At 38.0% G+C, this 17,597-nt stretch overlaps 1 protein-coding gene across 1 annotated transcript in view; it reads right to left on the bottom strand.

Annotated features, from left to right (window-relative positions):
- Positions 2,434–17,597, bottom strand: part of HPRT1 (hypoxanthine phosphoribosyltransferase 1) — a 40,504-nt gene continuing 25,340 nt past the window's right edge. The window contains exons 4-9 of the mRNA NM_000194.3: positions 16,572–16,637; positions 12,897–12,914; positions 9,512–9,594; positions 4,666–4,712; positions 4,418–4,494; positions 2,434–3,072 (exon numbers count right to left, since the gene is read on the bottom strand). Of these exons, the coding sequence (NP_000185.1) occupies positions 3,025–3,072; positions 4,418–4,494; positions 4,666–4,712; positions 9,512–9,594; positions 12,897–12,914; positions 16,572–16,637 (339 nt within the window). The 3' untranslated portion in view covers positions 2,434–3,024. The remainder of the gene's footprint in view (positions 3,073–4,417; positions 4,495–4,665; positions 4,713–9,511; positions 9,595–12,896; positions 12,915–16,571; positions 16,638–17,597) is intronic.

The raw sequence follows: 17,597 nt of genomic DNA, 5'->3' as shown, positions 1-17,597 counted from the left end.
CAAAACAAAACAAAAAACCCAAAAAACAACAAAAAAAAAAGCAGAGTAAACACAATCCTTCATACCAGAAAGTTATTTTGTCTGAAGCTGTCCACAGAATCATAAAATAAGCCAGCAGAAAAATCTGAAGAGAATGTTGGAGAAACTCTCTTAACAGTCTTTGAAAATGCTTTTTAGTGCCAGAGGAAATCAGTTTACATTCTTAGAGATCAGCTGTGACCTCAAAAAGCTGTGTTTAATGTACAAGTCATCTGGACTTATTACATTCAATGAGCTTAATGTTTTCCTCTATGTTATCAGTGTATTAATTTCTACACAAGAGCTGGGCATTATAGGTTAAGTGGCAATGAACTAAGAGGGCAGATGGTGGAATACAACTGCCTGGGTTCAAATTCCTCATCTGCTACTTACTAGCTGTGTGATCCTGGGCAAATTATGTGACCTCTCTGGACCTGCACTTCTTCATCTGTAAAGTTGGGACAATTAAAAAAACCCAAACAACCTACCTTATAGGGTTATCATAAGGATTCAAAGGCGCTAAGTATCATTCCATTGCATATAGAATTCAATACATGTTAGCTATCCTTAATAAGTTTTTTTTTTTTTTTTGCTTAACATGAAAAATGTTTTGCTTCTTTTCAAGTATTTTAATTGCTTTTTAACTTCCTATCATTCTATCATTTATCCAACAAATATTTATTGAGCACTACAATTTTCCAGGCACTCTTGTAGGTGCTGGGGATATAGCAGTGACCAGGACTGGCAAGGTCCTGCACTCACGGAGCTGACAGCCTACTAAGGGAGACAGACAGTAAGTAAGAAAGGAAAAGATCAATTTAGTAGATGCTTCTAAGGGAACAGCTCTGCCATGAATGTCTTCACATACGCCACACAGACAAGGCCAACAGCAGTCTGACCCATCTTGGAGGAATGCCATGTGATCCTCCCAGGAACACTGTAACATAACCAGTCTTGGGAAGAAGCTGTCCCAAGGCCATTTGTCACCCACCTCCCTATGTTGTGGGAGCTGCCATAAGGCAGTTTCTCATCTGCCTCCCTGGTTCTGATAAGACATGGGACTTTCAACATTGCCTCCTCACTTAGGGGAGAGCTGCAAGGTTATACAATCATTTAGCTAGAGTCTGAAGCTGACTCCTCCAGGACATAGCAACCCACCACTTGTGGGTAAATTATATAACATGTTATTGGGTTATACGACGCCAAACTGCCTATCACCGGCCATTTTTTACCTGCAAAAATGGTAATTTCATATGGTTCAACTTACTAGAAGGTGGTAAGTGCAACTGAAAAAAAAAGAGTAAAGAGGTTCAGCAGTGGGAAGCTGGATGCAGTATTCAAGAGGGTAGCCAAGTGGACCTCAGCGGGCTGACATTTTAGGGGAAGAAGGGGATTCAGGAGTTCTGGATATTGCACTCACATGTGGTAACATCTACCTCAACCTTACATGGGTATGAAGATCAAATGAGATAACAGAAGTAAAAATGTTTTGTAAACTAAGAAGTTCTAGGACTATAGAAAATTATTTAGTTTGAGTCTCCTACTTTGTTGCTGGGAATTACAGCAAACTCTTTTTTTTGAGACAGGGTCTCACTCTGTCATCCAGGCTGGAGTGTAGTGGCACTGTCAAGGCTCACTGCAGCCTTCACCTCCCAAGCTCAAGCAATCCTCCCACCTCAGCCTCCCAAGTAGCTGGGACTACAGTTGTGCGCCACCACACCCAGCGTTTTTTTTTTTTTTTGTATTTTTGTAGAGATGGCGTTTTGCCATGTTGCCCAGGCTGGTCTTGAACTCCTGAGCTCAAGTGATCCCCCACCCTGGGCTCCCAAAAGTGCTGGGACTACAGGTACGAGCCACTGTGCCCGGCCTACAGCAAACTTTTTAAGGAACACGTGTAAGCTAGATGGCTCCTAAGTTTGATAGTTCATACCTCACGTGGAGCAGATAAGCAATTAAGAGTTTTGGCTTAAAACTTTTCTCCTATTCCCAGAAAACAAAAGGTGTTGTTGTCATTGTTCTTAGTCAATAAAGCACTATCTACACAAAGAAGGTAATAGGACATATCTGAGAACAATCTGTTGAGATGTAGCTGAGATTACAATCTGAAAAACTGAACAGAATTCCAAAAGAAAGCCGTGTTATTTTAGCATAGTAAAATGTAATATAAAGTGTACCATGTGTCTGAAATTTAATGTCTCTGAAGTAGCTAGGAATTTTTGTAGCTCCGCCAACCCATTCTACCACATAATCATTGAGATTACAATTAAACTAGCTACTAAAACTTAACAAACAAGGAAAATGGAACCAACAGAAAACTAAACTAGGTTAATTTGTAGAGAAATGATAACTATGCATAGGTTTTTTTAAAGAGACAGGACTTATTTTAAGGATTTTTAAATTGAATTCATAAAGCAGTTAAATTTTTGGGAATTTATTGATTTGCATTTAAAAGGGAACTGCTGACAAAGATTCACTGGTAATAATTTGAACAAGTTGGAAAATACAGTCAACATTACTGAAACACTACTAAAATAATTCCAGGACAGAACAAAACTTCTTAGATGCTGTCTTTGATGTGAAAATTGACTGCTTCTTACTTTTCTAACACACGGTGGTATAATTAACAATATTCAATCACTTCTATTCTTTCCTGCATATATAAAAATTAAAATACCAATTAAAAAACTAATATATCTTCTCTTTATTTCTTACAGATATGAGTTCAATGTTTCACTCAATAGTGCTGTGGTTTAAGAGAATTTTTTCATTTACAAGTTAAACAACAATCCGCCCAAAGGGAACTGATAGTCTATAGGCTCATAGTGCAAATAAACAGTTTAGGAATGCAGCAACTGACATTTCTAAAGTACAAAACAGATAAAATTCTTAGAAGATACATGCAAAAAGCTCTACTAAGCAGATGGCCACAGAACTAGAACATTGATAATTTTACTGGCGATGTCAATAGGACTCCAGATGTTTCCAAACTCAACTTGAACTCTCATCTTAGGCTTTGTATTTTGCTTTTCCAGTTTCACTAATGACACAAACATGCTATAAAAAAAAATCCAGAAATTCACATTTAAAAAGTATATTCTGAAATGAAAGGCAAGAATAGCATTTTACATATAAGAACACTATTAGTTGTCAGGGTTCTTACTAAACAGAGATAGTACTACTGTATTTTAGATCAGTAACTTTTGGGGAGTGTATCTTTTGAAAACAAAGCAGTAGTCTATCACATTAGTTTAATTTGTTTCTTGTTTTTGTTTTTTTTTTTGAGACGGAGTCTTGCTCTGTCACCCAGACTGGAGTGCAGTGGCACGATCTCTGCTCACTGCAAGCTCTGCCTCCCGGGTTCACGCCATTCTCCTGCCTCAGCCTCCCGAGTAGCTGAGACTATAGGCGCCCGCCACCACCCCAGCTAATTTTTTCTATTTTTTAGTAGAGACGGGGTTTCACCGTGTTAGCCAGGATGGTCTCGATCTCCTGACCTTGTGATCCGCCCGCCTCAGCCTCCCAAAGTGCTGGGATTACAGGCGTGAGCCACCGCGCCCAGTCTGTTTCTTGTCTTAATACGTAGTTTTTTGTTTTTTGTTTTGTTTTGAGACAGAGTCTTGCTCTGTCACCCAGGCTGGAGTGCAGTGGCGTGATGTTGGCTCACTGTAGCCTCTGCCTCCCGGGTTCCAGTGATTCTCCTGCCTCAGCCTCCCAGGTAGCTGGGTTACAGGCACACACCACTACGCCTGGCTAATTTTTGTATTTTTAGTAAAGGTGGGGTTTCATCATGTTTGCCAGGCTGGTCTCGAACTCCTGACCTCAAGTGATCTGTCCGGCTTGGCCTCCCAAAGTGCTAGGATTACAGGTGTGAGCCACCGCAACCAGCCTCAATATGTAGTTTTGAAAGACAAATCAAGGAGATAATTTCAAGCATATCAAAGTGGGAGGCCAGTGTACGTGGCAAAAAAAGATGGAGTAAAAAACCTGCTTTAGGTAGTGTACTGTTGCAGTCTTCCTAAATCTTCCTCAACCATGTTCATAAACACATCCATGGGACTTCTGCCTCCAGAGTAAGAGGCAGGTATTCAAAGGACAGTGAATTAAAAGACTAAACTCGATCATTTATTTCTTACTTATGACCACATTTATCATCTGAAATAATAATGCAACAATTATTGTATATTAAAGCTGTTCAACTATTTCAGCCAACAAGAAGTGTCACCCTAGCCTGGCCAGGTTCCAGTTCTAAGGACGTCTGTACTAGACTACAGCTTTATGTGACTAATGGGAACCATCAGTCTGTTCAAATTATGAGGTGCTGGAAGGAGAAAACAATTCTCTTTCCTAAATTTTTATGCGTGTTTTGAAAAATGAGTGAGAAAAAGAAGCAATTACTTACATTCAAATCCCTGAAGTATTCATTATAGTCAAGGGCATATCCTACAACAAACTTGTCTGGAATTTCAAATCCAACAACTAAAAAGAATCATAATTCATCATTTAGATAAAGAAAACATCACTTTTAAATCTAATACTGGCAAATGTGCCTCTCTACAAATATTCTCTAAGCAATTATAAGCCATTTCACATAAAACTCTTTTAGGTTAAAGATGGTTAAATGATTGACAAAAAAAGTAATTCACTTACAGTCTGGCTTATATCCAACACTTCGTGGGGTCCTTTTCACCAGCAAGCTGTTAATTACAAAATGTGACATATAACATACAGAGAGACTACAGGGCATTACAAAAGAGAAGACTGACGTTTCTAAACACTGTTTCATTTCATCCGTGCTGAGTGTACCATGGTCACTTTTAACACACCCAAGGAAAGACTATGAAATGGAGAGCTAAATTATGGGGATTACTAGGAAGGGGCAGCAATGAGTTGACACTACAGACAAGGCACTTGGTTGATCACCTGGAACCTGAAGGACAGTTCTGAGACCTGCACCCTGACTACCCATGTGTCCATTGAAGGGGAGCTAATAAGGAGGATTAATGGGTACAGAGTGTCAATGAGCAAAGATGAAAAGGGCTCTCAGTCTAGAAACCTTGGAAATACAATCCCTAAACTATAAAAGGGTGTGGGAGAGGTGAGCATCACCTTTTATCACAACATTCTTTTTTTTTTTTTTTAGACGGAATCTCGCTCTGTTGCCCAGGCTGGAGTGCAGTGGCGCGATCTCCGCTCACTGCAAGCTCTGCCTCCTGGGTTCACGCCATTCTCCCGCCTCAGCCTCCTGAGTAGCTGGGACTACAGGCACCCGCCAGCACTCCCGGCTAATTTTTTTTTGTATTTAGTAGAGATGGGGTTTTACTGTGTTAGCCAGGATGGTCTTGATCTCCTGACCTCGTGATCCGCCCACCTCGGTCTCCCAAAGTGCTGAAATTACAGGCGTAAGCCACCGCGCCTGGCCACAACATTCTTTTCTTTTCTTTTCTTTTTTTTGAGATGGAGTTTTGCTCTTGTTGCCCAGGCTGGAGTGCAATGGCTCGCCCAACTCACCACAACCTCTGCCTCCCAGGTTCAAGCGATTCTCCTGCCTCAGCCTGCCGAGTAGCTGGGACTACAGGCATGTGCCACCACGCCCGGCTAATTTTGTATTTTTTTTAGTAGAGACAGGGTTTCTCCATGTTGGTCAGGCTGGTCTCGAACTCCCAACCTCAGGTGATCCGTCCACCTCGGCCTCCCAAAGTGCTGGGATCACAGGCGTGAGCCACTGCGCCCGGCCTCACAACATTCTTTTTTTTAAAGAGATGAGTCTCGCTCTGTGGCCCAGGCTGCAGTGCAGTGGTGTAATCACAGTTCACTGCAGCCTTGACTTCTTGGGCTCTAGCGATCCTCCCCCCTCAGCCTTCCGAGTAGCTGGGACTACAGATGTGTACCACTTCGCCCTGGCTGCATCACAACTTTTAATAACTGGCTTACAAAGAGGAACTTTAGGGTAAAACAACTAGTGTGCCAAAAGAACCAGTATTTATTTTTGGAACAAAAGCTGGAGGTGGTATAAGTCAACTCTACCAAAAGCTAATTTTATAACCCAAATGCTGCCTGTTGAAAAATATTCAGCCATTTAAAAAAAACTACAGAAGCTGCTTTGAAAGCCTTTACAGATGTTAAAGGCAGTCTCAAGAAAACTTATGCTTTCATACCTTCCTAGATAAATATATATGTTTAAAGAGCTGGAAAGGGCCCAAAGTGATCTCAACCTGGATTGCACATCAGAATCACCTGGGAGCTTTAAAAAACCAGAACTCACCTACTCGGGCCACAGCCCTGACCAATTACATCAGAATTGCTGGAGATGAGACACAGGCAGAGGTTATCCTGGTTTTTTAACTCTCAGGTGATTCCAATGTGCAGCCTAAGTAGATAACCACTGACCTAAGCCGGAGACTCCAAGGGATCATCTAATTATGTCCCTCATGACTCTTCCAATAAATGGAGAGAGGAGACACTTCAATTCTATTTCCATTTAGAAAGAACATAACAAGCCAATCACAGCAAAAACCCTTCTCCCTACCTGAACTCAGGAATGCTCCAGAAAAGGTATCACTAAACTCAGTGCAATCTGTATTAGGAGTTCAAGAGAACTCAGCACTTCATATGCCTAGAGATCTGAATGTTTAATAAAGCTCCATCTCTAAGGCATGACTAGAGTTGCATCTGAAGCATTTTCCATACTGTAAATGGGTAACCGTTCTTAAGAAGATATATGTAAATGGCCAATAAGCAGATGAAAACATGTTCAACATCATCAGCATCAGAGAAACACAAATCAAAACCACAATGAGATACCACATCATAGCCACTAGGATGGCTACAATAAAAAGGACAGTAACAAGTGTTGTCAAGGATGTGGAGATATTGGAACCCTCATATGTTACTGGTGTAAAACAGTACATATACCTTGTTAAATAGTCGGGCAATTCCTCAAAATGTTAAACACAGAGTTACTATATGACCTAGCAACTATATACTCAAGAGACCTGAAAACAGGTATTCATACTTGTACACAAACATTCAAATCAACATTATTCATAAAAGCCAACAGGTAGAAACTCAAATGTTCACCAACAGATGGATAAGCAAAATGTGATATATTTGTACAATGAAATATTATTCAGCCAAAACAAGGGATGAAGTACTGATACATGCCCCAACCTAGATGAACCTTGAAAACACTATGCTAAGTGAAAGAAGACAGGATATTGCATGAGTCCATTTATATGGAATGTCCATAATACACAAATCTGTACGGACTTTCTGTAGAAAGTAGATTAGTAGTTGCCAGGGGCTGGGAGAAGGGAGAATGACTGCTAATGGGTACAAGGTTTCTTTGGGTTCCAAAATGAAATAGTGGTAGCAGATGCACAACTCTGAATATATCAAAAACCACTGGATTGTACAACTTTAAAAGAGTGAATTTTATGGTACGTGACTCAGATCTCCATAAAAAAGGAGTATGTTTACAGTTCCAGAACCAGCTACATATATAATGTGAAAAATATTACTATCTTCCCTACATTCTAAAACGCAATTAAGCAGCTGCTCACTACAATGAGATCAATCACATTATAACCAACAGTGAAACAGCGCTTTGCAGTTAAAAAGATTTTCAAATATATTATCTCCTTGACTCATATAGTTTCCCTGAGAAAAAGATGTTAATAATCATTCCCCTTTAAAGATGAGTAAATACATTCAGAGAGATTAAATATGGAATAGTCGCTCAGATTAAGTGGCAGTGAAATGCGAGACTAAACTCCCAAGTCCATGTGTTTCTCACTTTACTGCTCTGCCTAGAACATGAAAACTGGAACTGGGTGGGAAAAACCTTAGAAGTCATCTAGGCCATGCATTCTTTTTTTTTTTTTTTTTTTCTGAGACAGGGTCTCACTCTGTCACCCAGGCTGGAGTGCAGTGGTGTGATCACAGTAGGCCACTTATACTCAACAGAGGCGATATCACCTCCAAGGAAGCCAAAACTAATTCTCAGCAGGGAGAGTGGAAATATTAGACATTACAAGATTTGTGACCCTCCAAAACTCAATCCTACCTGAAAATCTTATTCCTTAGTGTTTAATTTCTGAGTATCATATAAGCAGCACTGACGTGGGGTTCAAAGAAGATACATGAAATGTATGCAAGATCGGTGCTACAAAACTATGGTGAATAGATGACTTGGGTCAAGAAATGACCCAAGTATTGTTTGAGCATGTCCTACCTGTGGCAACACAAAATCTCTCGCTCACGAACCAGTCTATCTCAATTCCACAGCATATACCAGGAAAGAACAACAAAAGAATACCCAGAGGATTAAAGTCTATGCCACAGTAGGTTGACATTTAAAACCCTAAAGAGCATGTAGAAAAATAAGCAAGTGCACTGATTAGTTTCTATTTGGTTGGTGCAAAAGTGATTGCAGTTTTTGCCATTTCATAGGATACTAGTTAGTGTCCTATAACGTATCACTTATATACTCTCATAGTACCTGTCCCAAATCTATTTAAAAGAAAAACTCACTGATAAACACTTGAACTGGATATTAGAAAAGCCCATACAGTCAAACTGCTGACATATGACTCACTAGAAGGCTTACTCTGATTCAAAGATGCTCGACAGATACCGTGATTTTTTCAAAAGGGCTTATAAAAACCTGTTAATCACTTAGGAAAAAGCAGAAGTTAGAACATTACCTGACCCCTACATAAAAACTGCAGACTGATCAGAGACTTAATGTTTTTAATGAAATTATAAAAGGAAAAGAAAAACATATTCTTAAATGTTTGTTTGATGTCACTCTATTAAAAACTTAAGGTAGCAAAAGCATAAACTGTGAGCCAGGTTCCCTGGGTTCAAATCTCATCTCTATAGCGGACTAGCTCTGTACCTTTGGACAATTCCCTATGCCTCAGTAACCTTATCTGAAAAGTGGGAATAATAATGCCACCCCAGAGTTGTTGAGAGATGAAACGAAAATGAGAAATAAACACAGGTAGAACTATAAAAGCAAAAGTAAAACAGCATAGGTAAGGTGAGGAGGTGAGGCCGACTTAATAAAAAAGGAAGCAGGCATTATAAAATTTCACTACAGACACAAAGAAGATGCAGCATTCATCACTCAATTCCAGGAGGTCCAGATCTTCAGGGCCCACCCCTTCCTATCACTTCCTCACCCGCTTTGGAATCCTTATTCTTAATTTTGCAAGGGGGCCCAAAATCCTCTGCCATGCTATTCAGGACAAACTGATATAATTAGCATGCTGAAAAACCAAATGTTAATATTAGGCAAGGAAGTGACTGTAATTATGAGCTTTATTAACACATGACAAAATTATTTAAAAGGATTATATCTTAAGTCTTATATGAGATTACATTACTTTTCGAAGATAAAATGACAGTTGAAAACATTTATCCTTAAAAAGAAGCAATCACTTAATCCCCCTTCAAATGAGGAAAATATTCTGTGTCAAAATGTCATACATACCTTGCGACCTTGACCATCTTTGGATTATACTGCCTGACCAAGGAAAGCAAAGTCTGCATTGTTTTGCCAGTGTCAATTATATCCTTTCAAAAAAGAAGACATTGCATAGCTTTAAATTCAGAGTCACAATATAAAGTACCAAAACCCCCATGTATAACTGCAATACTGTCATTCTTTTCAGCACAGTAATTCTCACCAAAATCTACATGGAGATATTCTGGAATCTATATCATCTGGCCCTCAGCAAGCAGTAAGAATGCCAGCCCCCAGGACTGGATTTTGTAGGTGCAGGATCAATGACAGCAAATTTGAATATATACATGCACATTTTATTAGGGAGTTATGATGTTGTCCTTCATTATAAAAAGTATTTTAGAATTTTTCCCATAAATTCAAGATAGAGACTCTCTCCTCCCAACTCTCCAATATAGGTGGCTAACAGACTACACTCGAGAAACATGCTTTATACTATTTTTAAAGGCACCCAAATTAATAACGCTATAAAATGACTTTACATAAAAGTGAATCTCAGCTATTTAGTCAAAAGTAGGACTCTAAACAAACCCATCTTTGTTAGGGAAAATATTTTTTAAACCATAACCCTAATGCTTTTCAATAAAAATACTCTTTAAAAATGGAATAAAGCAGTGTGAGCCATCAGAAACATCATGGCTGGAGACTTGTGAAAAATGCAGATTTCTGGGCTGTGGTAGGCAGAATTCTGATGGCTCTCAAAATTCCTGCCTCCTTTAGGGATAAAAGACTTTAAGACTTTTTAACAAAAAAGAAAAAGAAAAAAAAAATTCCTGCCTCCTGGTGTACACACACAGAAGGGTTCCCTCCCCTTGAATGTGACCAGGATCTGTGAAAATAACGGGATAGCCGCTCCTGTGATTAGGTTATGTGGTAGACTAGAGCAAGATTCTCCTGCTGGTTTTGAAGAAGTCAGCTGCCATGTTGTGAGACTGTCATGGGCTAGGGCATGAGCCTTTAAATATCTGGGAGCAACCCCTGGCCAGCAGCCAGTGAGAAAACGGGCCCTCAGTCCTACAATCACAAGGAACTAAATTCTGCCAACAACCTGAAGGAACTTTGAAGAGGATCATGAGTCCCTTGATTCAGCTTGATGAGCCCCTGAGCAGAGGATACAGCTAACTTGTACTAGGGAAGTATAAAAAACATGCATGGGAATGATATATATCAACTTTAAGGATAATTGTCATACTTCTGGGAATGAAGGGAAAGAAATGGGGCTTTAGTTGTATTATGATCTTTAATTTCTCAAAAAAAATAAGATCAGAAGCAAATATGGCAAAATGTTAATACTTTTGTGGGTACGTAGGTATTCAGCATACCCTTTTTTCTGAGTTCAAAATATTTTATAATTAAAATGAAATGCAGGCCAGGCACAGTGGCTCATGCCTATAATACCAGCACTTTGCGAGGCCGAGGTGGGAGGATGGCTTGAGGCCAGACCAGCCTGGCCAACATGGCAAAACCCCATCTCTACTTAAAAAAAAAAAAAACTATATATATATATATGTGTGTGTGTGTGTATATATATATATGTATATATATTTATATATGTGTGTATATATATATATGTATATATATTTATATATGTGTGTGTATATATATATATACACACACACACATATATACATACATACATACACACACACACACACACAATTAGCCAGGCATGGTGGCGCACACCTGTAGTCCCAGCTACTTGGGAGGCTGAGACATGAGAATTGCTTGAACCTGGGAGGCAGAGTAGTTAGTGAGCTGAGATCATACCACTGCACTCCAGCCTGGTGACAGAGTGAGACTCTGTCTTAAAAAAAATAAAAATTAAAATTAAATGCAAAAGGTCCAAGTGAATTGAAGAGGAAAGGGGTATCAAGGAAGGTTTTGTGGAGGTGACGTTTGAGCTGGGTCTTAAATGACTTAAACATGGGATAAGAAGGGAGGGAATAAGGACATTTCAGGTACGAGAAATAAGGAGCAAACAGTGGAAACAACCTAACGTCTGTCAACCAGTGAATGGATAACAAAAATGTAATTCAGATGGTATCCAACTTACGATGGTTCAACATGAGATTTTTCTGACTTTAGGATAGATTTATCAAAGTAGTAAATCCATTTTCAACTTATGATATTTTCAACTTCAGATGGGTTTATCAGGACACAGTTGAGGAACACCTGTCTATCCATACAATTTGGCAATAAAAAGGAAATGAGTGCAGATATACTCCACAACATGAATGAACCTTGAAAACATTAAGTGAGAGAAGCCAGATACAAAAGGCCACATATTGTATGATTCTATTTATACAAAATGTCCAGAATAGGCAAATCTTATAGACAGCAAGTAGGTAGATGATCAGTTTGCTAGGTGCTGGGGGAAGGGGAAATGGGGAGTGATGGCTAAGGGGATTGGGTTTCTTTGTGGGGCAATGAAAATGTTTTAAAATTGAGCGTGATAATGATTGCACAATGCTGCATATATATATAATCTATAGATTATATATATATAAAGAGAGGCTGTTAGACAGTGATAAGTGATATATATATATATATACATAGAGAGAGAGAGAGAGAGAGAGAGAGGCTGTTAGTGATAAGTGATCAGGAAAATAAAAGTATTGAGGAGGAATACGAAGTTGACGGTGTGAAAACATGAGATTTTATATAGGATGGCCAGGGAAGGCCTTAATGAGAAAGTGACTTATGAGTAAAAACAAGGGATCCTAAACCTTAGCATGCATCAGAATCACTCGGAAACTTGTTAAAGCATAGCTTGCTGGGCCTCATCACAGATATTTTGATTCGGTAGGTTCTTGTCTGATATTAATACTTTTGGTCTAGGGAACCACATTTTGAGAACCACTGAGCTAAAGGAAGTAAAGGTTTCCCTTAGTTTACTAGCTGGTAACCCTAGGAAACTGCTTAGCCTCTCGGTGCTAAGATACAAAATACTTTAGCACATAATAACACATGGAAAATAGTCTATAAATTATAAATATTATTTTTTATGTACCAAATATTACATAAGACAAAATCTAAGCAAGATATATATATATATACATAAAATATAAGATATATATGTATATATTATATATAGATAAATAGAGAGAGAGAGTTATGTTTAGAAAGAAAATACTTCAAACTAAAAAAAGAGAGGTAGGAAGTATACCATTCCATTATTGGTAAAAACAAATTACTAAGTAGTCTTTACAAAAAACCAATCTCACTCCTTTAGAACACAAGCCCACCATTAAAACTGATGCAGAGGAATTTCTCTCCCTGGCTTACCTTTAGGATGGTGCATACTAAGTTAGAAAAGTCATAAATGTTATATTAAAAGTAAATGTGAACTTACTTCCACAATCAAGACATTCTAGAAGAAAAAGAGAAATGAAAATCAGTACAATGAATAAAACGGTATTTCCAATTATAAGTCAAATCACATCATAACAACCCTAAGGAATTATCCAAACTCTTGTTTTTAGATGCTTTATTATATCAAACTCTCCTTTAAACAAGTGGCCCATCTGCTGGGATTTGGAAGCCTGTAATACTGAAATTTTCATCATAATGGAAATTTTAAAAACAGAATTTGACCCACCTGTTTTTAAAACACTTTCATTACTTAACAAGAGGTCTAATCTTGGGCAAGTCTTGAAATTTCTCTGGCCTTAGTTTCCCATGTGTTAAATGAAACTTGAAGCAGTTGGTCTCTTATAGTCTCCTGACTCTAACATTCTAAGAATTATATTTGTACAATAACTCAAAAATCACATAATTTAATTTACCATATGGACTCCAAAATATATTTTCTCATTAGGCTAAACTTGATCTGCATTTTCTGGATGTGTCCATATTCTTGGACTACACTAAAACATGATACCAATGCTTCCTCTCACCATAAACCCTCACTTCGCTTTCTACATTTAAGAATTTTATAGCTGGAAGAGTCCTTAACAGAAAATACCATCTAATAATTACCCCTCAAAATCGAGAAAGTCCTATCTGTTCTTATGCTAGTTATAAGAATGAGGCAGCATTTCACATAATGGTTATAAACACTGCCACAAGAAGATTCATGATGTGTTGTTTATCTGTAGCTCTCATCATACTCTGTCATATAACTATAGCATTAAGATTTTAATGTTCTATATATTCTTCTAAGACAGTGTTTACCAGAGTAAGGCACAAAAGATCCACTGGTTTGCAAGAAAGATTAGAACTTTTAAATTTTTTACCTCACCTTGTTTAATCTATATTTTTGTATGTATTTTGTAACATATATATTATTATTACCATAAATCATATATAATTTAAAATGCATATATTAGGGGTAAATGCTCAGGAAACTTTTTATAAATTGGGCATGCAAATACAAGTTTGAAGACTCACTGTTCTAGGTATTAAAAGTAAAGTTATAACCAAGTAAAGCTTCCACCTTTTCATGTCTCAAAGCAGTTTATTGTTGGAGGTAAGATCTCTTAGAAGCCTAAACAGGTCCAAGTACAGAATGAAGTAAGGCTAGCCCATAACTTGTGGCAAGCAATTCATACTATTTCTCTCATGCTGAGCTCTCCTCAGTGAAGCAGCTACTATAGACAACTGCAGCCTATTGGTAGCCTATTTTACAGGCAGGAAAAAAATTACTTTTTATTCAAAGTGGAACTCAGGACATGGGGAGAAAATGAATACAAAAAATAGGGTCAATCCAAAGGCACACAGCAAATGAGTAACACAGTTATGTTTTTTTCCCATTTGTATGAGGTCCCAGTAAATTCTAAGTAAACTGCAAATTTAATAATACACTAAAAAAGCCATGCAATTGTTCAAATGAATCCCAGCATGGTACAACGAGTACAGACACTAGAGTCTAAAAAACAAAAGAATGCCATTATTGAGTTTTTGAATTATATCAAGTAGTTACATCTCTACTTAATAAATGAGAAAAACGAGGATAAGAGGCCATTTGATAAAATGAAAATAGCCAAGAAGTGGTATTAGAGACTTGAATACAGGTATTCGGGTCCAAAGTTCATCTGCTCAAATACTAACTGGGGAAAAGAGGGAAAAATATTTATATACATATATATCTGCACACAAAAATACCCCCAAAAGACAAAATGAGGCCAGGCAGGGTGGCTCACACCCGTAATCCCGGTACTTTGGGAGGCTGAGGCAGGTGGATACCTGAGATCAGGAGTTGGAGATCAGCCTGGTCAACATGGTGAAACCCTGTCTCTACTAAAGATAAAAAAATTAGCCAGGCATGGTGGCGTGCGCCTGTAATCCCAGCTACTTGGGAGTCTGAGGCAGGAGAATCACTTGAACTGGGAAGGGGAGGTTGCAGTGAGCCAAGATCGTACTACTGCACTCCAGCCTGGGCAGCAGAGTGAGACTCCATCACAAAAATAAATAAATAAATAAAATACAATGAAACAGAAAGTTCAAATAATCCCATAATCTTACCACCAAGAAATAACTTTCACTCGTTATACTTATTGATTTTTCCATAATAAATGTACTTTACTGTGACTATCATGAAAAGAAAGTTATTTTAGAAACAGAGAACTGTTTCAGATCAAATCTATGTAGTAGAACAGAGCCATTAGGTGGGAAAGACGAGATCAAACTAAATCTCAGAAGGCCTAAAAGGCTAGGTCCATTCCAGCACTAAAAACTGACCAGACAAGTAATGGCTTCAACAGCTTCTAAATATGGACAAAGCATGCTGAAAGGGAAGGACAGGTCTAACAGTGGTATATGAAATGAACAGGAGGGGCAAAGCTCATTTCTCCTCTGAAGTTTTCCAAAGATGCTGAGGAGGACATTAGTTTGACATGACCCTGATATGGGACAAGATAATTTCACAGAAGTTTTACATGTTAAAGTTTTCTTATAGATACTCATTCAAGTAAGCAATGAACACTAAAATCTAAAGAAAGAAAAGAGCTTTAGAGTCAGGTCTGTATTCAAATTCAAGCTCTACCACTTACTGGTTCTGTGACTTTGGGCAAGTCTTTTAACCTTATTAAGTCTTAATTTCCTGATTTGTAAAATGGGGATATCGTCTCCCTCACAGGATTGTTGTGAAACTTTTATGAGATTAATGCCTTTATATTTGGCATAGTGTAAGTAAACAATAACTGGCAGCTTCAAAAAAAAAAAGCAGTAGCATTCCATCATTTATTATTGGTTACTCTCAAAAAGTTTTTCAATGTACTAGAAGATAAATATTCAAATACCTTAATATCTCCATTATTTTCAGGTAAACAGCATGCTCCTGAACAACCAATGGGTCAACAAATAAATTAAAAGGGAAATCTAAAAACATCTTGATATTAAACTACATGGAAGCACAATATACCAAAACCAATGGTTCACACTAGGAGAATTTTAAGGTACAAGAAAACTCTTTGAGATTTCTTAAAATAATAGTATGTCTGAATTTATTGAGTGATTTACCAGAAACTGTTGTAAGAGCTCTACTTGCATTATAGCACTTAATCCTCTTAACTCTATGGCTGCTATTATCAACCTCACCCTAATCACATATGGGACACAGAGAGGTTAAGTAACTTGCCCAAGGTCAGAGTTAGGAAGTACTAAGCCATGCTTTGAATCAGTTGTCAGGCTCCGGAACTCACACTTTCAGCCACTACATAATACTGCTTTGCTATCTTTTAGGAAACTATGTGAGTCTACCTCACATAGACTCACATAGGTTTGTTTTTTTTTTTTTTTTAAAGGCTATCTTTTCCCCCATCAATGTTTTTTGAAGGATCCCAAATTAGAGTCCCACAGAGGCAGACAGCAGTACTTGACAATATGGACATTTAAGGTTAATGTTGGATTCTACTGTCTTTTTACTACATGACCTAGGGAACGATAATTAACCTAGACTGCTTCCAAGGGTTAAATAACCCATTTAGTTATACTATGTAAATTATCTCTTAGTGATTGATTGAAAGCACACTGTTACTAATTGACTCGGTATGAAGTGCTTTTTTTTCTTCCCTTTCAAGATACATACCTTTCCAGTTAAAGTTGAGAGATCATCTCCACCAATTACTTTTATGTCCCCTGTTGACTGGTCATTCTAGTTAAAAAAAAAAAAAACTATATATATATATATCTACACACACATATGTATATGTATATCCTTATGTACACACACAAACTTCAAATTAAATGAGAACTAGAAGATTTGAGAAGTTAGCTAGCTAATATCCATAGCATTATGATATTCTAAATGATATGAATTATAAGAATTAGGTTTCCTGAAATGAATGACTAGAAAACTTTCAAGTAGAGATTAGTAAAAATTAAAAAGTCCTAATCGGCCATTACTGATTTGATGTTTTTAAGAGTCCTAAAAAATGGGTTACATCCATTTTTAAGTGGGTAGTATTATAACAGCCACCCATCTTCAATCACAGTGATTTCTGAATTGTGAGGGAAGTTATTAGCATGACAGGTGTCTGGTTCTGGCCCTGTACGATTCCCATGAGTCAAGCAAATTGTAAGGGCTGGTCTATATCACACCCAACCCCAAGGATATGTCCCTCAAAAGTCTAGCCCAGGCCCCGTCATCTTCAGCATCATCTGGGAAACCAGGTCTGATTAGTAGTCCTTTAAGGAATACCTCTTAGGCTCCCATTTTACTGCTATCACAGAATCCAATAAAACCCTTACAGGAGATTCAATGGGAAATGCTCAACACCCACTGTAGTTGGTGGTGACAATGACCATAATTTGGCTGTGCTGGATTCAGGACAGAAAATTTGGGTGAAAGAGCAGGTGAACAAAAGAGCTTCGACTTGCCCTAGCAGAGAGCAAGCCATACCATACCACAAAGCCACAGCAATTACAACGGTGCAGTACCAGCACAGTAAATGAACAAAGTAGAGCCCAGAAACAGACCCAGAACTATATGAGGATTTAGTATACAATAAAGATGGTATTTCGAGTCAGTAGGGAAAAGATGAATTATTCAATAAATGATGTTTGGCCAACTAGTAACCCATTTGGGAAAAAATAAAAGTATGGTCCCTACCTC

Source organism: Homo sapiens, chromosome X (assembly GCF_000001405.40).
Source record: "Homo sapiens chromosome X, GRCh38.p14 Primary Assembly".
In the NCBI taxonomy this organism is placed as follows: Eukaryota; Metazoa; Chordata; class Mammalia; order Primates; family Hominidae; genus Homo; species Homo sapiens.
This window is presented reverse-complemented; position numbering and strand designations above follow the sequence as displayed.